The sequence below is a fragment of the Homo sapiens genome, chromosome 10, assembly GCF_000001405.40.
Source record: "Homo sapiens chromosome 10, GRCh38.p14 Primary Assembly".
NCBI lineage: Eukaryota > Metazoa > Chordata > Mammalia > Primates > Hominidae > Homo > Homo sapiens.
Window position 1 is genome coordinate 19,527,857 of NC_000010.11, and position 25,111 is coordinate 19,552,967.

A 25,111-nucleotide genomic window follows, 5' to 3' on the forward strand; every position below is an offset into this window, starting at 1 on the left:
ATGCATTAGAAATTCTCAAGTGTGTAAAAGGCAACAGAATGTGGAGAAATCCAGATATTCTTATTTAATTAAAAATACCTTGGATTTAAAGAAAGTACGTTTTTAATGAATAAGCCACCGTTCATAGTAGGTTTGACAGGTGCAGTCTAGGTATATTGGCTTTGCATTCCACCTATGTTGTGATTTTCCAAATAAGAAAACAAGCCGTATTTTTGGAACAAAATGTGAAACTTAGAAAACTTTTTTTTCTGTGGCATTAAGTACTGTGTTCAATTTTCCTAACTCAATATTTGGTGGTACATACAATGTATTTCAAAGAACAATGAGGATAGAAAACAGCTTACCAATGCTACAGGAACAGTCCAAGTTGCTTTCATGTGTAATCTTTTGTACTGAAAATTTTGCTGCAATAATTCTCAGACAAAGTTCCCTGCTTATCTTACTCAAATAAAATTAGGCCGGGCACAGTGACTCAAGCCTGTAATCCCAGCACTTTGGGAAGCCGAGGCGGGCGGATCACAAGGTCAGGAGATCGAGACCATCCTGGGCAACATGGTGAAACCCCATCTCTACCAAAAATACAAAAATTAGCTGGGCTTGGTGGCACACACCTATAGTCCCATCTACTTGGGAGGCTGAGGCAGGAGAACCGCTTGAACCCGGGAGGCAGAGGTTGCAGTGAGCCAATATCGTGCCGTTGCACTCCAGCCTGGCGACAGAGCAAGACTCCGTCTCTAAATAAATAAAGAAATAAAAATAAATTTTATTGAAATTTTCTTATTTTGGCAGCCTTTATAAAGGGGTGTTGTTGAAAAGAGAAATTTTCAGTAAAATAGCTTTTTTAAAAAAATAGATGCAAGTTATTTGCATCTTCCAGTCCAGCATGTAAGGAGCTTGGAAGGCATCATTCCTATCATCGTAGAAGGAAAGGTGAACCAACTGAAAATCAACAATTCTTTTTAGATTCATTAGAGAACTGAAGTCACAGTCAAACCACTACCCCCAACATTGGACAGCCAGCCAGACAGACACAGAGTATCGTAACTTACCTGGGCAAGTAGCCCATGAACGGGAACTCTTCAGGGACAAGTACTGGTGTAGGAATCCTCACTGAAACCGACAGATTGCTGCAGCCTCAAGGTGGACAAGTTTGAGAGATAACAGTGTCATGAGGACCCAGCCCTTGGCAGCCCACACACTTTGGTGAATGTTCCCTTCAGGAGCCCTCCCACATTCTCACAGCAAAGATGAAAGAAAAATCCCCTCAGTTTTCAGCAGGGGAAAGGGGGAAAGTAGCCATTTTGAAATATTCCTAGAGCATTCTATTCTTAACAAGGCCTGCCTTCAAGAAAAACTATTTTACCAGAACCTAACCAACCTAGGGGAATAGAAATGCCCAATTATATTATAAGAAGTGGGAGGGAATAATTGAAAATACTCTGTTTTACAGTACTTGTACTACCCATGAAATGGGTTAGTTATGTTGTTACATAAGTTGCTTATAAAATGGTATGATGATATTTGACAGAGGATTTGGCTTGGTAGTTATAATGTATATTGCAAATTCAAAGTCAGTCCCTAGAAAAAGAATGTAAAAACAGAAGATATAAAATTGATATGTTAAGAGAGGATAAAAACAGAATCGTGAAAAGTTCAATTAAAAAACCAGAGAAGACAGAAAAAAACAGGAGGGGGGGGGAGAAAACAAAGATTAAGGATATTAGAGTATTGAATACAAAATGAAGACAAATATGGTAAATGTTATAAATATTAGTCCAACTATATGAATAATTAAGTGCTAATCATCTAAATTCACCTATTTGTCAAAATAGATGCAAACACAAGACCCAACTATATATTGTCAGTAAGAAACCTACATTTAATATAAACACACAGATTAAAAATAAAGGCATGGAGAAACATATACCATGCTAACATTAATCAAAAGAATGTAGAAATTTAGATAAAGATGACTTTGGAGAAAGGAAGATTACAGGAATAAAAAGAAACATTACATAACATTATGTAGTAATAATTAGATCATTACTCCAAGAAGACAAAACATAGAATATGTTCTATGTACATGCATAGGAAGACAATATTTTGTAGACATCAGTTCTTCCCAACATGATGTATAAATTCAATGCAATTCCAATCCCAAGTTATTTTGTAGATATTAACAAACCGATTCTAAAGATTGCATGGAAAAGCAAAAGACTCAGAATAGCCAAAACAATATTTAATTAATAAGAGTGTGTCAATATTGGCTCATTAATTGTAACTAATGTAACACACTAATGCAAAAAAGGTTAATAATACACAAATGGTCTGTGGGAGAGGTATGAGGACACAGGAAACTCTCTTACTGTCCTCTCAACTTCCTTTAAACCTAAAATTGCTCTAAAAAATTGTGTATTCATTTTTGTCATCTATATTTTGAAGGACATTGTTGAAATGTTGAAATTTATATAAATATATAATATTTATATAAATATATAATATTTATATAAATATTTATATAAATATTATATATTTATATAAATATTATATATTTATATAATAATAAATATATAATATATATAATATATAATATATAATATATAATAATAAATAATTATATAATATTTATATAAATAAATATAAATATATTAATAGTCTTGAATGGGACTACAAATATTTAACTTAAGGAAAAAATACACACACACATATATATATTTCATATTTACCTACCCACAAAGGGGAATGATAGCTATGATGAATTTCTGACAATGGCAACAGAAAAAAATCCAATTGTGTTTAAATGCAGAAATCTTTCACATACTAATGCATTTGAGAAGAAAAGAAATAGTGTATTACCCAGAAAAAGCTATTGTAATGACTCTTAGAATCACATTTCACTTTGCAGTTATAGCCATTCACTACTACCCTGGCCAGTGTGGGAATCAGAGCAACTGAAAATAAGATACAATACCAGTCAGTCCCCAGTACCTACTCTGTATTTGCTGTATGCACAGCATACAAAGTATTTTATTGCTGGAATCTGACAGGTTTAAGCAAATTAGGAGAATAGGAATACACCTTCATATTCAAAACCAATATTTGATTACTTTATTAGTCACTGGCTCAAGGGAATTTTGTGAATCACATGATCATAGTGACACTTTTTAGGCTCAGAAGAATGAAATGTTATTGATATATGACTCCCAAAATCAAAATGAGTTCTGTTTGATTGTGTGTATGTATAAGGATAAAAAGATATCTGTTAATAGTTTAAACACATTCCGACTCATGCGATATTATCATTACACTGAAAAAAATTTTGTTAATCTATTTCAAGGTAGTGGTCAGCACTTCCTGTACGTCAACTCATCTGGCTCCAAGGAAGGATCCGTTGCCAGAATTACTACTTCCAAATCCTTCCCAGCAAGCCTTGGAATGTGTACTGTTCGGTTCTGGTTCTACATGATTGATCCCAGGAGTATGGGAATATTAAAGGTACAAAAGGAAGCCAGAGATTTATGATCACTGAAATATGCATGACATGTTTAAACATTGTCTTCCCTTGTCTTATTTGTATTTTTGTTGGTCACACCGCCAGTGCTGATGCCATTAATTTCTCATTTCTTTCTGGGGCAGTGGGACTTTGGCAAGCTGTGCTGTCATTCATCTTAATCTCATTCAAGATTTATCTCACTGACGGCTGCCACCTGAACTCAATTATGTTGTATGGTATTTAAAAGATTATCTGGAGATAAAAGAGTTTGGGCAGATTCGACATGTATCTTCTATTAGCAGCTTAGCTAGGGACAGTAAAGAAATGTGATGTGATGCATAATGGTGAGGAAGATAATTTTCTACCCAAAATTCAGTTAAGGAAAAGCAAATTTGAGACTTTAAGTATATATCAGCTCACAGTAAAATCAACATGCGCGCTCTATTTTTAACTAGTTTAAAGCAATAATCTGTACCAAATGCAGATACCTTTAATGAAATAAGTTGCTGCACTTATACTTTTCATTGTATCAATGAGTTTTTCAATCATCATGAACCAATTTTAAGATCTTGGTTTCTAATTAAATGGTTACATATCAGCACACCACACCTAGTGTTATTAACTTACAATTATCCAATCCTGTTTTTTGAATAAATACAATTGGGATTTTTGTCTTTATATCAAATATGGTCCTCTGTAAATAATAGCAGCTCTTATTAAGTTCTGCCTTATATTTACATGTATTATAAACACTCTATGGTATCAATTTTAATTCTCACCTTCACCTGATGAGGTAAGTATATTTTTTCCCAATTTTGCAACAAAGAAACAGACTCAAAGAGGCTTAGTAACTTTTTCAACATTTCACAGTCAAAATTATGATTTCAAAAATCTGATATCTTTTTTTTGGTGGGGGGCAGGGAGAGACAGAGTCTTGCTCTGTCGCCCCGACTGAAGTGCAGTGGTGCGATCTCAGTTCACTGGAACCTCCGCCTCCCAGGTTCAAGTGATTCTCCTGCCTCAGCATCCTGAGTAGCTGGGATCACAGGCATGCATCACCACGTCCAGCTAATTTTTTGTACTTTTAGTAGAGATGGGGTTTCATCATGTTGGCCAGGCTGGTCTCAAATTCCTGACCTCATGATCCACCCACCTCAGCCTCCCAGGGTGCTGGGATTACAGGCCTGAGCCACCATGCCCCCCTTCTCAAAAATATGATATCTATTACACAGTTTTGTTTCTCAGATTCTCTGTGGTCAACCAAAGAAGTCAGAAGAGAAACATGGGAAAATGAGAGAACGAAAAAAGGCCTTATCAATTCTAGACAGCGACAGAAATTGAAACTCTTAAGTAAAAATCTAAACATGCAAAGAAAGTTGAGAATTTATCCTGACTCTGTGTCTGTTTTTTCAAAGGAAGCCAGTAAAACAACAGAGAAAGAGGTTCATTTTTAACAGTTTGAGAGCACACGAATAAATGCAAAAGCATGTAAAAATTTTAAATTATTTTTCATAGTTTTTACATCTAATCGATGAATATTCAATAGATTAGCCTATTGCTTATGCTAAATTTTATCCAGTGTAATTTATAACCACTGAGCTTCAAGAAACTCCACAACACCTTATTTCTACTGACATTATTAAACACAGATTCCTGCAATTGAAGAGGACACTAGTCTACAGTTCCTCATCAAAGCAAGCATCAGTGGAAAGGCCACCAGACCTTTCCATATAATGTAGGCAGATTTCGGTCACTTTCTAAGAAATTGTTGCTTCCTCAATTCAAAAAGACCACCCCTGTGTTCTTTAGCTACTCACCAGCTGGGCCTTCAGTTCCTTAGTTACCCAGTTAAGTGGCCCTCTGTGTTTAGCCATGTTTCTGTAAATAGCCTTTGAAATAGAAATAGTGACCTCACGTCTTGATTTCTGATACCTGACTTTGGTGCTTACTGGTTTTTCTAACCAGAAGGCAGCAGTTAAGTATAACGATGCTTTTCTACTCTGGGAAGTTTTCAGAGAGGTCTACTAGAAAGAATGGTGGCAGGAAATTGATAATCAGCATGATATTGATTTTTCTGTAGCAACAGTCTTGGTGGGTGTATTAGATCATTCTTGTGTTGCTGTAAAGAAATACCTGAGACTGGTAATTTATAAAGGAAATGGGTTTAATTGGCTCATAGTTCTACAGGCTGTACAGGAAGCATGGCACTGGGCATCTGCTCAGCTTCTGATGAGGGTTCAAGAAGCATTCAAGTATGGCGGAATGCAAAGTGGGAGCTGTCACAGGGTGAAAGCAGAGGCAAAAGAGGGAGGTGCTAACACTTTTAAATGACCAGATATCATGAGAACTCACTCATTATCATGAAGACAGCATCCAGCCATGACAGATCTGCCCCCATGACCCAACAGCTCCCACCAGTCCCAACCTCCAGCATTGGGGATTACAATTCAACATGAGATTTGGACGGGGTCAAATATCCAAACTGTATCAGCGGAGTTGACTGCCACAGTGACTTGCTTTTACCACGTCCGTGGGTGACCTCAGTAGGGCCAATCATAGGGTCCTCTAAGCATTTAATGCAGAGGAAGAGAGGTATTTCTTTTTCTTTTGGATTACAAGTTGTAGGAACATAGACTAGGCTTGGGGCTGTTGGTAGCCATCTTTCCCCACAAAGGGAGAGAGATTGTTTGACAAAGAAGCTAACACATGGGGACACAGAGCTAAAGAAAGGGGAAGAAACAGAAAGGTACCTGCTCTGTTTAAACCCTCAATCCCAGTTTTTCTGCACCAGTAGAATTCTCCTTTTGTTACTTGCTACTGAAAAAGCCCTCGCCATTACAGAAACTCAGCAAAAACTATTTTCATAATGTGGCCTTACATCACTGATGGATCATAGCAGCTGGGGCAAATCTTATTTTCTCAACTATTGCTGTGGAAAATCTTGAGTTATTCACAGATGAAAACCTTCCTAAGCATGCAGTAATTTTACATGTGGAGGAACCAGTGAAGTGGAAACCCATTCTCCGTGTTCTTCGGATTGAGGCTTTCCATTAGCATGCTTTTCTTTCACCTGCAAGTTTGTGCTTTTTTACAATCTCTAATTTCGGTATTACAGTACTGCAGGACCACTCCTTATAAAGGAGATGTGGACCCATGTTTGTGGCTCTATTTTTTACAAATAATTGATGCCAAAAGTCCAATTAATATAATCTGAACTTGTGGTGGGAAAAAAACTTCTTTTTCTAAGTAAAAAACAAGTCCTTTTTCCCCCTTCTCTAATAATGTTGACACCATAAAACAAATCTTAAAAGAATAAAATAAATGATCATATCTGCTGTTGGTGTGGATGTAAAGAAACAGATATTCATTGCTAGCTGGACTATCAGTTTGCAATTATGAAGAATATTTTGACAATTAAAAAATTTATAATTTTTATATTACTTACTAAAATATTTTATATCTAGAAATTTATTGTAATGAAATAAAGATAGATATATATATGCTATTTTATTTATAAAGTTTTTGTTGTTGTTGTTGTTGTTGTTTTTGTTTTTTGAGATGAAGTCTCGCTCTGTTGCCAGACTGGAGTGCAGTGGCGCGATCTTGGCTCGCTGCAACCTCCGCCTCCCTGGTTCAAGCGATTCTCCTGCCTCAGCTTCCGGAGTAGCTGGGATTACAGGCAGGTGCCACCACACCCAGCTAACTTTCGTATTTTTAGTAGAGATGGCGTTTCACCATGTTGGCCAGGCTGGTCTTAATCTCCTGACCTAGTGATTCGCCCACCTAGGCCTCCCAAAGTGCTGGGATTACAGGCGTGAGCCACTGCGCCCGACCAAAGTTTTTTTTTATCTCAATGTTTACCCTAGTAAATATTGGAAACCACGTGAGCATCAAATAGTAGGAATTACTCAAATATAGTACATTCGGTCATACGGAAACACTGTAGAACAATTAATTCTGTGAATGAATAATTAGTGATAAAAAGAAATGTTTATGATTCTTTAATGACCTAAGCAGATTGTTAAGGAATATGTGTACTAGTATGCAATTTTTTAAAAAAATCAGATTTTGTGTGAAAATGTGTATATGGCTATAGATATTTCCCTCATAAATATATGTATATATGTGTATATGCATATACATATACACATATATATACACATATATACATGTGTATATGTATATACATATACATATATATACACATATGTACATATATGTATATACGTATATATATATATGACAGGGAAAAGAAAGAAATGGAGAAATATACACTACAATGGTTAAAATAATTATTTGTACTTTTTGAGATGAAAAAGTTTATTTTAATATTTTGCAGTCTTACGTATTTTATAATTTTTCTACATGAAACTTGTATTAGCTTTCTAATAAAAATTACGTATTTCTAAAGGGTCCTCATATTTGGAAGGGTTGAGAGACACTGCCCCAGAATGTGCCATAAACACATGACCTCTTGAGTTAATAATAGCAAATGTGGCTCCAGAGTACATGGTAGATTACAATTGTCTGAAAGTATTTCTTAAGTTGATTATAGAAACCCTTCAGAGGGGATGTGGCAAAGAAAATACCTAAGATGAATTTTCAGAGGCAAGGGTTTATGAGGCAATAAAAATAGGAATGCATTCTCAAAAGAGATTCCAAATTGTAGACTGTGGGAGTATGTCTCCTTGTCAGCGTAAATTTTCTGAAATCTCACTAAAGGTTATGCATTCCCTGCCCTTCCAGGATCTGCTCTGTATTCCAGAGAACTACACTTCCCTAGCTGCTTTACTTTCTACCTTCCTAGGTAGGTTTGGTCAATGGAAGGTACCCACAAAAGACGTGAGGACAGGAAGAGAAGACAAGCCTTCCTCCTCTATCTTCCTATTTTGGATTGAGTCTCTAACTGTACCTTATCTGTGACTCAGCTTCCCGCAATTAGGCCATGCTTCCTTAGTTCCAGCTCCCATAGAACATGCCAGAAAAATTTTTTTTCTTTTCTTTTTTTTTTTTAATTATACTTTAAGTTTTAGGGTACATGTGCACAACGTGCAGGTTTGTTTCATTCTTCCAGCAGCTTGACTTTGGTGACATTCTTCCTTCGTCCCTCTCGTTTTAGGGATGGAAACATTCTACATATGGTAGGTTGCGTCATAATTTCCTTGCTGATTTCTCATCTCTTTCGTAGCCCTTGTAATCAGTCCCCTATCTCTCTATATTAAACTTCCTTTATTTGAAATATGTTAGTTTAGCTACTCTAAACTTGAATTTGTCTGATATAAGTGTGCACTGTAAAGAAAACAGAAATCTTTTGGTGCTATGACCTTACAAAATAATAAAAAAAAAATTGAGTGACAGTCAGCTTCAATTTGTCCTGAACATTAATTACATTAATTACATTACATTAACTTATTTCTGAATAAGGTTCTAGTAGTGATAACAGAAAACAGGTAAACAAACAAAACAGATAACTATGAGACCTTCCATTTGTCATACAGCACTGGAGCAAATAAGAAAGTTTCCTGTGATAATTACTCATCACCTGCTGAGAGAGGCATTTGATATTAATGGTAAGAAAGCCCCTCTCAGAAAGATGGTATTTGGATTTAGAGTTGAAGAGCAAGAAGGAGCCAGCCTTGCGACTATCTGGAGAAAAACTGCTCTAAGCAGAGGTTGCAAGTTAATGAAAAACCTCCCATGTAGAAATTTCGAGGGCTGGCATAGCTGGAACAACATAGACAAGAGGATAAATAAGATTGAAGATGGAGGAAGAGATCAGGTCATTTATGACCTTGTACATGATAAGGAGACTCAGTTTTATTCTAAAAACCATGGGAAGCTATCGGAGAGTATTAACATGAAGAGTAATTAAAAATATGTAAAAGGGCTGTTTGGCTGCTATATGGAAAAGGGCTGGAATCTGGTGGGTAGGAGGAGGCCAAAGTGAAAATGAAACTTGATATCTTAGTTCTTTCAGGTTGCTATTACCAAATACCATTGACTGCATGACTTATAAACAACATAAATTTATTTCTTATAGTTCTGGAGGCTGCGAAGTCCAAGATCAAGGGGCTGGCAAGTTTGGTGTCTTACCAGACCTTTTTTGTGACTTCACATGATGGAAAAGGCAGGAGAGCGCTCTTCTCTCTCTCCTTTTTCTTCTCCCTCCTCTTTCTCCAGATATTCACAAGGCTGGCTTCTTGTATTCAAACATCATCTTTCTCAGAGGGCCTTCCTTATCATTTGATATAAAATACCTCTCTCAGCAGAAGATGAGTAATTACTTATCATGGGAAACTTATTTTATTTTTCCAAAGAACTATATCACAGATGGAAAGTTTCATAGCTACCTGTGTTGTTTGTTTTCTGTCATTTCTCTTACTTGACTTCAGTCTCTTTATAAGGGCACTAATCCCATTCATGAGGTCTCCCCCTTCATGATCTTGTCCCTCCTGTAGGCCCTACCTTCTAATACCATCACCTTCGGGGTTAGGATTTCAACATGTGAATCTTGGGGAGTAATATTCAGTCCATTGCACAGGGAGAAAAGTGAAGATGATTTCAGAAGTCCAGGGCAACAAAGATGTGGCTTGATTTAAAATGGAATATAAAGATAAACTGAAAACCAATGTCTGTAAATAATGCACAGGACTTAGATCTTCACTGACATTTAAGATAATTTTCTAAATAAAGCATATCTAAATTTTATTAGCATATTAATGAAGTGTATCATATAAAGTGAAAGCAGTCAACAACTAGTATAGTCGTGAGATCAAAGTGAAATTCAATTATGATTTTCCTATTATGTTTTAGGATAAAAAGCCAAACTATGCTGATTTATCTCAGCCTTCAAAGTAGAGGGCTGCATAAAGAAAATATTTTATAGAAATTAGGAAGACTTCAATATCTTTTCATCATAAATGACTGATAATCAGAATAATAAAATGTTCACATGGGCATCAATATCCTTCAATTAAAGGCTGAAGGAATTAGAGAACAATGCTAATTTGTACTTACTTAATAAATGCTTTATTTTCTAGTAATGCCAAACCAGAAGAACTTACAAAGATCAGTTTCTTTCTGTCTTTCAGTTACCTACTTACATGTCAAATTAATGCACTCTTTAAAATGATGGTGGTCACTTTTTGATCCATACTGCCAAAAGAGCCCTAAATGAAACCAAATTAATTTCCCATTATATTATTTAATTACAGCTATTCAGCTTCCTAGCTTCTGTCTTGTTTTGATGTTTAATGCTATCTCAATTGATTTGGTCTACAAATAGCAGTTAACTTGGCACTGAACAAGATGATTTCTCTAAAAATAACTAACATATTTTATTACTCCAAACTTAAAGAAATAAAAGGAAAATGAATAGGTAACTCACAATTTATACTTTTCGTAATATTTTTGTAATTTATATAAATTTCTAATTGCTCATGAAAAAAAAAAGCTACTTTCTAAAACTTCCGTGATCACAGATAAGTTTATATATATATGGGATTCCGGAAACCGATAGTTCGTATTTCAGAACAAGTAGCCTATGGTGTTGAAATGGTCTCTATCTTAGATTTGAGGCATTCTTAGGCCTAAATGAGTTTCAGTAAAACCCATAGGATAAGACATTTAGCATGTATATGCTCCAGTTCAGAAAACCATTATTGTTATGAGCTGGTGCTATTGAGTTTTGTTTTGTTTTGTTTCAATGTAATATTTAGGAAGATAGTAAAAGCAGAGAAAAAAATGGAGAATAATATCAGAGTCAGACTTAATAAGATCAGATGGTTACGATATGCCATACACCATTCAGAGTCCTTTATCATAAATTAATTAGTCTGATTCTCACACCCTCCAAATGAGGCAAGTACTGACGTTATCTACATTTTAACAGGTAAGGCAAATGAGATAGACAAAGCTTCAGGAATTTGTCCAAGGTCATAGAGCTGGGCAGGTTTTTCCACATGGCCTATCTCTACTCTATCCTTATAACTACTATGCTTTTCTGCCTTTCAGAACTAGAGGGCTATTTATGACGTATTGAGGGTTTGCATTTTCATTACTCAATATTGTCTTATATTTTCTACCAGTAGTTGATAAAATCTAATTCTTTAAAAGGTATTTTGCATATTTTGTGTTCTGCATATTATATTTTTCAGTATACATTTGGTTTGAATTTTAAATTTTACAAAATGGCATCATGGTTACTTAAATAGTTAGATGTGTCCCCAAATGCTTAGTGTGTGTGAGCCGATATGGGGGATGCTATAAGTATTTGTCTTACCAATAGTTGCCTGTGAGACATGCCACGCAATCCTTTTGTTCTGCTGCTTTGTTTTTTTATTTTTTTGTATTTTTGAGACAGGGTCTCACTCTGTCACCCAGGCTGGAGTGCAGTGGTGCAGTCTCCACTCACTGCAGTCTCAACCTCCTGTGCTCAAGTTATCCTCCCACGTCAGCCTCCCTAATAGCTGGGACTACCAGCATGCGCCACCACACCCAGCTTTGTGCGTGTGTGTGTGTGTGTGTGTGTGTGTGTGTGTGTGTGTGTGCGCGCGCGCGTGCGCGCACACACGCGCAGTGATGGGGTTTTGCCATGTTGCCCAGGCTGGTCTTGAACTCCTGAGCTCAAGTGATCTGCCCACCTCGGCCTCCCATGCCACATGCCCAGTGTGTTCTGCTGCTTAAGATGATTAACTTTTGAATGAGCTGCTCAAGGACGAGGGCCACCAAGACTGTATCTTCTTTGTCAAACTCACTGAGGGCCCTTCTGGTCGATTTTGTAATCACCTAGAATCTGTCATTAGATCTACAGTTGTCCTGTTAGAATAGGCAGATGTTTCCGGAACCCCTTCTTTAGGCTAGTGCAAGAGGATATTCTATTCCCTGTGATGATAGCAGACATATAATCGTCAGAATAGGAAGTTTGGCAGGGAAGAAAAAGAGTCTTACCCCAACTCAGCCTCTCTTAAATGCAGAATGACTGTGGGCCCTCTGGGATGTGGTTGCAAAGACACGTGGCACCCACAGTGGGAGGTATTTTGAGGTAGTAAGGCTTTTGATACATCACTCAACAATGATTCTCACAACCCATAATAAGATAACACAGCAATATGAATAAGGAACCAATGAAATATGGTGCATAAAGAGTTTCTAATAATAGAGGAAATGCGTTGATACTTATATTCACTTAATCAGGTACTAGGTTATCATTTATTGCCGTGAAGTAATCATTTAGAAAATGATAACCCTTGTTAATGAGCTGCTAAAAAGGCTCTGGTTATTCTCATGAGATGTTACTATATAGACGAGGACCCAGCCCATCTCATAGTTATCACTTGTGTTGCAGAAATTTCTCCAGGCATATGTTGAGTGAAAAGAGAAGTGGAAAAAAAACCTTGACGTTTCAATAGCAAAAAATATGCAAAGTTGAATATTCACTTAAATTTACAAAAATATATATATTTTCAGAAATTAAAAATGGAAGTCCAAGCACAGTGGCTCACGGCTGTAATCCCAGCACTTTGGGAGGCCAAAGCAGGAGGATTGCTTGATGCCAGGAATTTGAGACCAGCCTGGGCAACATGGCAAGACCTTGTGTCTTTAAAAATAAAAATATATTCAGGGTAAAAAAATGAAACTAATTAAGTGGGTACTAGTTTGTATAACATATGCTTAAGGCAATAGAAACATCAGGCCTTTTTATTGTATTTCTTTTATTATTGACATTGTAAAAATGCAATCTTATTATGAAAGTTATTGAGTGGCACTATCAGTATTCTGTCTCTAAATTTATTCATTTTCAAAGTATATTTTAACTAATTTTCTAGACTAACCGGTTCTCTTTCATTTCTGTTTATGCTGAACTTCATGGCCATTGTTTTTACAAGTGGTGTTAAACTGCTTATCAATGGTAGCTTTGGAGAAAAATATTAGATAGTATTTAAGAGACATATGCAATTATCCCCATGCATAAAACGTAGGGAGATGTGTGTAGAAGTTTTTAAGCATATTTAACAAATTTATAAAACCTAGATTATACCTTAAATCTGAGCATGTCTTACTATTTTCAGCAGAAACATGAAAAGTAATATTCTAGGGCAATAGCTCTTAATGTGTCACTCATCCTGGCACATTGAAATCATTTGTACAATATGACACGAGTAATGTGTTATAGCAGTAGTTAAAATGAAGCAAAGTATTTTTTTTCTCTTTGTAAGAATAGATTCAAGTTTCTCCTTCTATGGTATCAATGTCTTATATTTTAATCTAATATGTTTTACTGAATAACAGAAAAAGGCAAGGTTTGGTCTGGTGTGCCAGAGACACTTAGGATCCTGCGACAAGGTACACTTAGGAGTGTGTCAAGCATACAAACATAATCTATCACATAATAAGAATCACTGGCTCATATTAACACTTTAGCAAAGATGGGTGAATAGGTCTTGATAGCAATGAGACACTTTGAGAGCTGCGCCAGAGTAAACCTTGCTAAAATGTGCTATGTATCTTCCATTGTGAATAATAGAAAATATAAACCATAGGATGGCAAAAAACACTGGTATTAAGTTTGCTATTAAAATATAAATTAGGCAGGATGGGAAGGTCCTTTGCACAAAATGAAAAGGTCGACACTCAAGAGAAAGAGCTAATCTAATATGACCTTCAAAATAGACTTTCTTTTCACAATATAATAAAAGTAGAAAAATAAAAGTAAACTCAACTTGAAGAGTTATGCAACTAAAAATTAAAATCAAGTCACAGTTTTAAGACAGAGGCATGGGAATTTGCAAAAGAAGGTCTTTCTTACACCTGACTACAAACAGACTAGGTGCAAAGTCACCTTGAGAAAGAACCTAAATCAGCTTCACTTGGAAGTCTCGGTCTGAAGCTGAATATTATTTCTTTATAAAAACCATTTAATATACTTGAAGCTCAAGTAACTTTTCTTTTACATTTTTATTTCATGAAAGCCACCCATCTTTATTTTCCTTACAGAGTCTGGGTTTAATGCCTCATTTAGAAAGCCATTTTCTGTCATAAAATAACAAAATATTTTCATTTGTTTTAATAATTATATAATTTATAGTTTTAATAATTATATAATCCTGATTTCTAGTTTTAACTACTTAATCTAGTTATAATTCATTTTTGTTTATGAGTCGTGAGAGGTTAGAATCTCCTGATGTTTTTTTTCCAAATTGCAGTATAGTAGTTCCAATATCATTGATATAATTCTTTGTCCTCTCCTGTGGATTGGACATGCCTCCACTATCACATGTTAAATTTATATATATAGATGTAAATTTTCTTGAAATGTGTGAAAGAATGATAGCTTCTCAGTTGGATACAAAGATAGGTAGATAAATAGATGTTAGAAATACAGAGAGAAACCATAATCTTCTCTATCCTTATTGTTTTTGGCTTAATTTGTCCATGTAGGAAAAAGGTATTTTAAAAGCCTCCAGTACAATTATAAAAGTGTCTATTTGTCTTTTTGTTTTACCTGTCTTAGATTTTTATGTGTTGAAGTTATGTTGTTGAATGCCTAAAGATTCAAGACAGTTATGTCTGTTTGGGGAATTACAACTTTTATCAACAGTAAATAGCCCTCTTTGTAGTTTCCATGGAAATCCTGTATTATTTGTTAATAATATGGATGTTCTACTGTCTTCATTTTTTGTTGGATTCATATAAGAAAATAAAGGAACTTTTATCTGAGCCCTGCAAGAGTACTATTAATTATTACATCCAGGGAGACATTAAACTGAGACAGCAATCACACCCTACTCCCCTGGATTTTTCACAGCTCACTGCAGCCTTGCCTTCCCAGGCTCAAGCAATTCTCTGGCCTCAGCCTCTCAAGTAGCTGGGACTACAGATGTAAAAATCATGCCCAGCTGATTTTTCGTTTTTGTTTTATTTATCTTTTTTTGAGACAGGGCCTTGTACTGTCAGTCAGGCTGGAGTATAGTGGTGCAATCACAGCTCACTGCAGCCTTGGCTTCCCAGGCTCAAGCAATTCTCTGGCCTCAGCCTCTCAAGTAGCTGGGACTACAGATGTAAAAATCATGCCCAGCTGATTTCTTTTTTTTTTTTTTTTTTGAGAGAGAAATGGGGTCTCACTGTGTTTCCTAGGCTGGTCTCCAACTGCTGGACTCATGCTGTCCTCCTGCCTCAGAATCCCAAAGTGCTGAGATTACAGGTCTGAGCCACCATACTAGGCTTACTCCGCTTTTTGAGTTATGTAGTTATCTCTTCAAACTGCTTGTGATTGTCCCAACCATCTATAAATTAACCTAATAATGCCACACCAGACACTGTAACCCAAACTCTGTAGCTTAACAATGCATAGCCAATCACTAATCCACGTTATTTCTGCAAACCAATGGAGAATTCTTGGCAAACAACTTTGTATCAACTTACTCCCTATCCCTGTTTTTGCCTTTACAAATCAACTTGTAAATGCTGCTAAATGAAGTGTATATTCAGGGCAACTGGAGTCTATGCTCCTGGGTTTCCATCCTCAAGCCTGGCCCAAATAAACTCTCTACTTAACGTTAATTTCTCCTCACCTTCTTCTTGTTAAATCAATATATATCTTATCTTTATTTTTATTATTCCATGCTACTTGGCTTTAGTTATGCCTATTATAAACACTATATGGCTGAATTGTGTTTTTTTTCACACAATCTGAGCTTCTAGTTTTTTAAATAAATCCAGTCTTTTTATATGTGTTGTGGTTACAGTTTCATTGTCATATAGATCTTTTGGTTGTGTGTTTTCTACTGGTATTTTTTATTTTTCCCCTCTACTTGAGTCTTTTTTGCTTTGTTTTGGGTGTTTTTGGTTTTTTTTTTTAGATGCAGTCTCGCTCTTGTCACCCAGGCCGAAATGCGATGGTGTGATCTTGGCACTGCAACTTCTGCCTCCTGGGCTCAGGCGATTCTCCTGCCTCAGCCTCCCAATTAGCTGGGAATACAGGTGCCTGCCACCATACCTGACTAATTTTTGTATTTTTAGTAGAGAATGGATTTCACCGTGTTGGCCAGGCTGGTCTCGAACTCCTGACCTCAAGTGATTCGCCCACCTAGGCCTCCCAAAGTGTTGGGATTGCAGACGTGAGTCACCACACCAGGCCTACTTGAGTCTTTAGATGGGTTGGCTAGATTTCTGTTGTTCTTGCTTATTCCCAGTGTTTATAAGTTTTAATTGCTGTGCCTTTTTTTTTTTCTAAAGTGGACGAATTTTTATTGTCTATTAAAGTATTTATTATGAATGAAAATTAATAATCTACCCACCACCCACTAAAAGTAGATCTTTGGTCAGATTTGATTGGCCTGAATCATCCTCTCTAACAGCTCTATGACTTATTAAAATTGTCTGGAACTAAAGTGCAAATCATTTCTCTACCTTCTTGGCAATCATATTCATAAAAATGACCATGACCTCTCTTCAGTTTTTCAATTCACAGTATGTTATCATCAAGTAAAACTATGCATTTTACTTGATGATAATATCAAGCAGTGGGCAAGTTATCTTTGCTCACCACTCTTTATTAATGCCTATGCAGTCTACTATATTGGATTCTTTTTGTTTGATATGCATATTAGCTTGCTAGAGTTGCCATAACAAGATACCATGACTGGGTGGCTTCAACAATAGAAATGTATTTCCTTATAATCATGGAGGCTGGAGGTCCAAGATCAAGGTGTCAGCAGGTGTGGGTTCTTCTGAGGCTTCTTCCTTGACTGGTCACTGGTCACCTTTCCACTGTCCTCACAAGGTCTTCCCTCTATGCAGGCATATCTATCCCTCATGTTTCTTCTTATGTCTAAATTTTTTCATTTTATAAGGGCATCATTCACATTGGATTAGAGCCTACCCTAACAGCCTCATTATAACTTAATGAGGCCCTGTTTCAAAATACAGTCACATTCTGAGGTTCTGTGGTTTAGGGCTGCAACATATGAACTTTAGGGGAATACATTCATCCTGTAACAGTATGTTTTGCTCATATGCATTTCAGATAAGTGCAAAATGCTAACCTTTTGAGTTCTTGATTGAAAAAAGCAATCGTGTCTATATTGGAAAGATTGGTTGGGTATAGATTTCTAGGTTGAAAATTATTTTTCCTTACGTAATTGAAGATGTGGCTGCATTGCATGCTAATATCCAGTACCTGCCTACCTTTTAGAAGACTGATGTCTGTCTGATTATTTCTCCTTCAGGACTTTTACACTACCTACTTTTCCCCGTATGTGAATAAAATGTTCTTTTTATTCCCTGGAATCCATAAATTTTCCTGGAAATTTAATGAGCCCTCATCATTCGTCACCTTAGGGAGATTTTCAGCTGTAATTTGCTTGGTTATCTCCTTCAAGGAAAATTATTAGACAGATCTGCAAACTTCTGGACCTTTCCCCACCAACCCCTCACGTAAATTCACGACGTTTTCAGCTTTTAGTCCTCTGGCACTGTGGTCTTAGAGGATCACTTCTTTCAGTTTTCCTATTCACCTTTTGGTCTTTAATCTGGGTCAGTTTTGCTATTCAGTCTATCTGTGAGGCTTTTATTTTTACAATCATACTGTTAATTTCCAAGAACTGTGAATGCTTCCCCCTTTCATATTTGCCTGTTAGGTATGACTGACACCCAAATCTCTCAAGAGAGTTAATTATATTTCTTTCTTTATTTTCCCATTGGTTCTGTTAACTGTCTTTCCCATGGTGTTCAGTATTCTGTTTAATGTAGTGTCTCTGTTTTACAGTTTTTCACAACTGTCTGGTTACTTAGTGTTCTATTTCTATAGATGGATGAGTCTAGGTTGAATAATATTACTATGTGTGCTTTATCTTCTCAGACCAAGTAAGAAATTCCCTTCCCCTAACAGTGAATATGCATTCTGATTCAGCATCTCTGGTTTCATATTTCTTTGATGTAAAGCACTAGCTGTTTTCTAGTGTGTTTATGTTTACGATGTATTGTTAGCTTGTTTATGTGTTGAAGGAGGTACACGTATTTTTATGGCAGTCGTAAGGGACATTGCATCATTTCTCTGGTCTCAGTACAAACTCTTGGAAACTCCTGTGTCAGAGCTCCATTTCAGCAATATTTACTCATCTTGTCTGTTCTGGGTACAAATGCTGGAATCAGCAACTCCTAACCCAAGGAATCAACCTGGCTCTTCTGGAGTCCTTGGATTAATTACCAGATGGTGACATATGCACAGCTTCTTCTCTTTGGTCTTTGTCCCTTTGAGTTATTCCAGAATTTGGCTAGAACAGTTCACATTTTTGTCATTGGTACTGATCTTTTCTTTTACCTGTAGGTGTTTGCAAATGCCTCAGTTCTGTTTATGTATTTTCATCAAAAAGTTTCCATTTGATTTAAAACCTCCAAAAAGTCCTAACTATTTCTGTAAGCTAGTACCTGTGATCCTGATTTTCCATTGCTTCTGTTGATTTATGTCAGTGTTTTTCCTGTCTTTCCAGTGGAACATTTTTGGAGAGTATAGGTAAGTGTGTGTTTTCAGTTAGCCATCAGAACCAGAAATGAGTTTTCTAAATATTTACAACTTTTGAAGAACCTACTAAAAGAACAGTAATTCAGCTTAGAAATTCATTTTTTTTCCTGTTTGCTGTCTTGCAGTATAAATTTTCTTTCAATTTGAGGGAAGGTGTTTTGAAGGCATTCTGAAGGTGGTCTGTGCAGTGATACTGTTCATTGAGAGAAAAGCCTCTAAGTGTCGGGCTAACTAACATTAAATGCTACATGGGTCATTTTGCTATGAAGAGACATTTTCTTGGTGCTTTATTTCTGATTACTCCTATTTCTAATTACTTGGTCTCTTTCAAATAATGTGGGGTCAACGTTGAAGAGCTAAATACAAATCAGCCATTTCAATTTCCACATGCATAGTAGCTATACGTTTTTTCAGTTCTTCCTCCTGTGAGACATTCAGTGATGTTTATTACAAACCAAGTGAGGTGGAAGAACGACTGCCCGACTGGAACACAGGAAACCTATGTCCAACACCCAGTCACTAGGGATTAGAAACTCCGAAATTTCTAAAGCTCTCTGCTTCTGATCCTTCTTATTTGCAAGGACCTTAGCAATGCTTTAAAAAAAAATCTGAAAAACCTAAAACCACATCTGAAATTATTATTTTTTTAATCCCACAAAAGAATGCCAGCTTCTCATAATGAAATTCCCCAGTTACCACTCTCATTAACATGACATGACTTATCCTTCTATATTAGCTCCTTTTTTCCACCATAAGATATATATGATGTGTAATAGCAATAGTAATAAAATGTGCTCGGTGTTGGTAATGAATTGACATACTTCACTTAAATTTAAACCTAATAACAGATCTATCAGGGAGCTACAGCACACTTCATTTTATTGTACTCCATTTTACTGAACTTCACAGATACATATATATATATATATATATATATATATATATATTTTTTTTTTTTTTTTTTTTTTTTTTTTTTTACAAATTGAAGGTTTGTAACAACATTGCATTCAGCAAGTGTATGTATGGCTGCTATTTTCCCAACAACTTGTGCTCGCTTTGTGTTTCTGTGTCACATTTTGATAATTCTCCCAGCATTTCAAGCTTTTCTCTTATCACTATACTTTTTTTTTTTTTTTTTTTTTTTTGAGACAAAGTTTCCCTCTTGTTGGCCGGGCTGGAGTGCAATGGCACAATCTCAGATCACTGCAACCTCCACCTCCCAGTTCAGGCAATTCTCCTGCCTCAGCCTGCCAAGTAGCTGGGATTACAAGCATGCACCACCACCCCTGGCTAATTTTGTATTTTTACTAAAGATGGGGTTTCACCATGTTGGTCAGACTGATCTCGAACTCCTGACCTCAGGTGATTTGCCCCCCTCTGCCGCCCAAAGTTCTGGGATTACAGGCGTGAACCACCACGCCTGGCCTACTTGAGTCATTCGATGGGTTGATTAGATTTTCTTTTTTCTTTCTTATTCCCAGTGTTTATAAGTTTTAATTGCTGTGCCTTTTTTTCTAAAGTGGACATAATATTTTTGCCTATTAAATTAGTTATCTATTTTGAATGAAAATTAATTGCACGCTTCTAACTTACCCATCACCCAAGTAAAAGTAGATCTTTGGCAAGATGTGACTGGCCTGAATCATCCTCCCTAACAACTCTATGACTTATTAAAATTGTCACCGTGCCCGGCCTCATTATATTTCTTATGGTGATCTGTGATCAGTGATCTTTGATGCTACTATTGTATTTTTTTCTGGGGTGTTATGAACTGTAATATAAAATGGTGAATATAATTGATAAATACTGTGTGTGTTCTGACTGCTAGATTGACCTGTGGATCCCTTGTGTCACTCCCTCTCTTCGGGCCTCCCTATTTCCTGAGACAAGACCACATCCAAATTAGGCCAACCCTTCAAGGCCAATGGTCTTTAAGTGTTCAAGCGAAAGGAAGAACAGCACTTCTCCTACTTTAAATCAAAAGCTAGAAATGATTAAGCTTAGTGAGGAAAGCATGTCGAAAGGTGAGATAGGCTGAAAGCTAGACGTCTTGCTCCAAACAGCTAGTCAAGTTGGGGATGCAAGGGAAAAGTTCGTGAAGGAAGTTAAAAGTGCTACTCCAGTGAACACACACATGATAATGAAGCAAAACAGCCTTAGTGCTAATATGGAGAAGGTTTAAATGGTCTGGATAGAAGACCAAACCAGCTTCGACATTCCCTTAAGCCAAAGCCTAATCCAGAGCAAGACCCAACTCTCTTCAGTTTGGCTGAGAGAGGTGAGGAAGCTGTGGAAGAAAAGTTGGAAGCTAGTAGAGGATGGTTAGTTCATGAGGTTTAAGGAAAGAAGCCACCTGCTTAACATAAAAGTGCAAAGTGAAGCAGAAAGTGCTGACAGAGTGCTTGATAAAGCCGCAGCAGGTTGGAGGAGGATTGACTTCAGTTTTGAAAGAAGTTCTACTGTGGGTAAAACGCTATCAAATAGCATCATTTGCTACAGAGAAATCTTTTGAGCAAGAAAGTCGATCGTGCAGCAAACTTATTGTCTTGTTTTAAGAAATTACCACAACCACTCCACCCTTCAGCAATCACCACCCTAATCAGTGAGCAGCCCAATAAAGTAAGACCCTTCACCAGCAAGATTATGACTTGAAGGCTGAGATGGTCATTAGCATATTTTAGCAATAATATATTTTTAAGTTAAGGTATATACATTGCTTTTTGTAGGCATAATGCTGTTGCACACTTAACCGACTACAGTATAGTGTAAACATGAGTTTTATATGCTCTGGGAAACCGAAAGATTTTTATGACTCATGTTATTGCAATATTTGGTTTATTGCAGTAGTCTGGAACTGAACCTGCAATATCTTTGAGCTCTGCTGATTAATGTCTTTCATTTAATAGCAGTGGAAACTGAAATTTAAAGACATTAAGTAACTTGGCCTAAAACATTCAATTAATCTGGGCAGAGACAGGATTGGAATCTGGTTCCTAATTCCTAACTATTACATTGCTCAGCCTTCTGGCTAATAGGTTAAACATTGGGGGAAAGTTTTATGCTTCTGGAATATAATAGAGAGCAATGCCTCTCTATATCACAAATAATCACCAACCAATTTTGGACACTCCTTTATAGTTTGAAAAAGTATTTCATATATATAAACCCATTTAATTTGCTTTGAGGTGTTAGAAAGAAAACTGGGGGATTCTTGGTCTTCATCTTAAGTAAGAAAGGTGAAAAAAAGACAACAGTGATCTATTTCCTCAGTCCTTAATGACCCAGCTGAATTGTAGATTGTTATTTCATCCTAATTCTGATTGTTCTAAGATTTGTTTTTTATAATTACCCGCTCCCCTACTTGCCTATGATACATTCTTTACAACATGTCCTAGATTATTTATAATTCAGTGACATCCAAACCCAGAAATTGTGGTGAAGTTTTAGTGTAACAAAGTAATTATGTTTTTTAAACTTTTTAATTGTAAGTTCAGGGGTACCTGTGCAGTTTTGTTACATAGATAAACATGTGTCTTGGTTTTTTCTTTATTATTTCATCACCTGTATTAAGCCAAATAACTAGTACCAATTAATTATTTTTCCTGACCCTCTACCTCCTTCCAACCTCCACCCTCCAATAGGCCCCAGTGTGTGTGGGTTCCCCTCTATGTGTCCACATGTTCTCGTCATTTAGCTCCCACTTAAGTGTGAGAACATGCGGTATTTGGTTTTCTGTTCCAGCATTAGTTTCCTGAGGATAATGGCTTCTAGCTCCATCCATGTCCCTGCACGGGATGTGATCTCATTCTTTTTAATGGCTGCATAGTATTCCATGGTGTGTATGTACCACATTTTCCTTATCCCTTATCACTAATAGGGGTTTAGGTTGATTCCATGTCTTTGCTACCATTAATAGTGCTGCAATGAACATACATACCTATGTGTATGTCTTTATAATAGAATGATTTATATTTTGGGCGGTATATACCCCATAATGGGATTGCTGGTTAAAATGCTAGTTCTGTTTCTAGGTTTTTGAGGAATCACCACACTGTCTTCCACAATATAAGTGTTCCTTTTTCTCCACAACCTTGCCAGCATCTGTTATTTTTTGCCTTTTTAATAATAGCCATTCTGACTGGTGTGAGATGATATCTCATTGTGGTTTTGATTTGCATTTCTGTAAAGATCACTGATTGAGCTTCTTTTTCATATGATTGTTGGCTGCATGTAGGTCTTCTTTTGAAAAGTGTCTGTTCATATCCTTTGCACATTTTTAATAAGGTTGTTTTTGTTCCTATAAACTTAAGTTCTTTACAGATGCTGGATATTAGACCTTTATAAGATGCACAGTATGCAAATATTTCCTCCCATCGTCTCTGATATTTTTGTCATCTCCCATATTTTTCAGCACTGTCTTGTAATTTTCATTGTAGAGATCTTTCACCTCCCCTGTTCACTGTATTCCTAGATATTTTATTCATTTGTTGCTATTGTGAATGGGATTTTATTCCAGGCTCAGCTCTTGGCTTGGCTGTTGCTGGTATATAGGAACGCTACTGATTTTTGTATGCTGATTTTGTATCTTTAGACTTTACTGAAGTTGCTTATCAGCTTAAGAAGCTTTTGCACTGAGACAGTGGGGTTTTCTAGATATAGGATCATGTCGCCTGCAAAGAGGGGTAATTTAACTTTCTGTCTTCCTTTTTGGAAGCCCTTTATTTCTTTATCTTTCCCAATTGCCCTGGCCTGGACTTTGAGTACTGTGTTGAATAGGAGTGGTGAGAGAGTGCATCCTTGTCTTGAAAGCGGAATGCTTCTAGCTTTTGCCCATTGAGTATAATATTGGCTGTGGGTTTGTCTTGTATGGCTCTTATTTTGAGGTATATTCCTTCAATATCTAGTTTATTGAGAGTTTTTAACCTGAACAGATGCTGAATTTCAATGAAAGCCTTTTTGCATCTATTGAGATAATCATGTGGTTTTTGTCTTTAGTTTTGTTTATGCGATGAATCACATTTATTGATTTCTGTATGTTGAACGAACCTTGCATCCTAGGGATGAAGGCTACTTGATTGTGGTAAATACACTTTTTGATGTGCTGCTAGATTAGTTTGCCAGTATTTTTTTTGAGGATTTCTGCATTCATGTTCATCAAAGATATTGGCCTGAAATTTTCTTTTTTTCCTTGTATCTCTGCCAGGTTTTGGTATCAGGATGATGCTGGCCTCATAGAATGAGTTAGAGAGGAGTCCCTCCTTTTCAATTTTTTTGTATAGTTTCTCTAGGAATGGTACCAGCTATTCTTTGTACATCTGGTAAAATTCAGCTGTGAATTAATCTGGTCCTAGGATTTTTTGGTTGGTAGGCTATTTATTACTGCTTCAATTTCAGAACTCGTTATTGGCCTGTTCAGGGATTCAATTTCAGGGTGTATATGTCCAGAAATTTATCAGTTTCTTCTAGATTTCCTAGTTCATGTGCATAGAGGTATTTATAATATTCTCTGATGGTTGTTTGTATTTCTGTGGAGTCAGTGGTAATATTACCCTTATCATTTCAGGTTGTGTTTATTTGAATCTTCTCTCTTTTCTTCTTTATTAGTCTAGCTAGCAGTCTACCTACTTTATTAATTTTTTTCAGAGTGCCAGCGCCTGGATTTGTTGATGTTTTGAATTTTTGTGTGTGTGTGTGTGTGTCTGTATCCTTATTTGTAAACATACTAAGAACACTACTATCTCTCACAACAGTACGTGAATAATCCTGGTTTTTGTAAGTAGATGGATTTGTCTTTTATATAAGTTGATGAATTGATTATCGTAGAAATATTTTTTAATTTCAAAAGAAAAAAATTATTTTGTTTTTCTTTTTTTCAGTGTTTGCTTTTGCAAAGCATTAGTAGTTACACTGTAATAACTTATACACAATAAACATCAAGTTCTGCTCTCCTGCCCTCCTTCTCCATGATGCTTCCAGTCCACATGTTCAAGCTATAGTCCACAACATTATTTTCTGATAAATATAACAGTTTGATCTAAGTGTGGTTACATTATATTGTACTTGTCCCTGGAAGAAAACAAATTTTAATATGCAAG

General features: G+C 36.3%; 1 protein-coding gene across 10 annotated transcripts in view; it reads left to right on the plus strand.

Moving 5' to 3' along the window:
• The window catches only part of MALRD1 (MAM and LDL receptor class A domain containing 1), a 687,552-nt gene that overhangs the window by 480,930 nt on the left and 181,511 nt on the right, over positions 1-25,111 (plus strand). For 9 of the 10 annotated variants that reach the window (XM_011519453.3, XM_011519455.3, XM_011519454.2 and 6 more), the window contains one exon: positions 3,338-3,495. In XM_011519453.3, coding sequence (XP_011517755.1) covers positions 3,338-3,495 — 158 coding nt within the window. The remainder of the gene's footprint in view (positions 1-3,337; positions 3,496-25,111) is intronic. The other variant, XM_047425167.1, reaches the window with a different exon arrangement.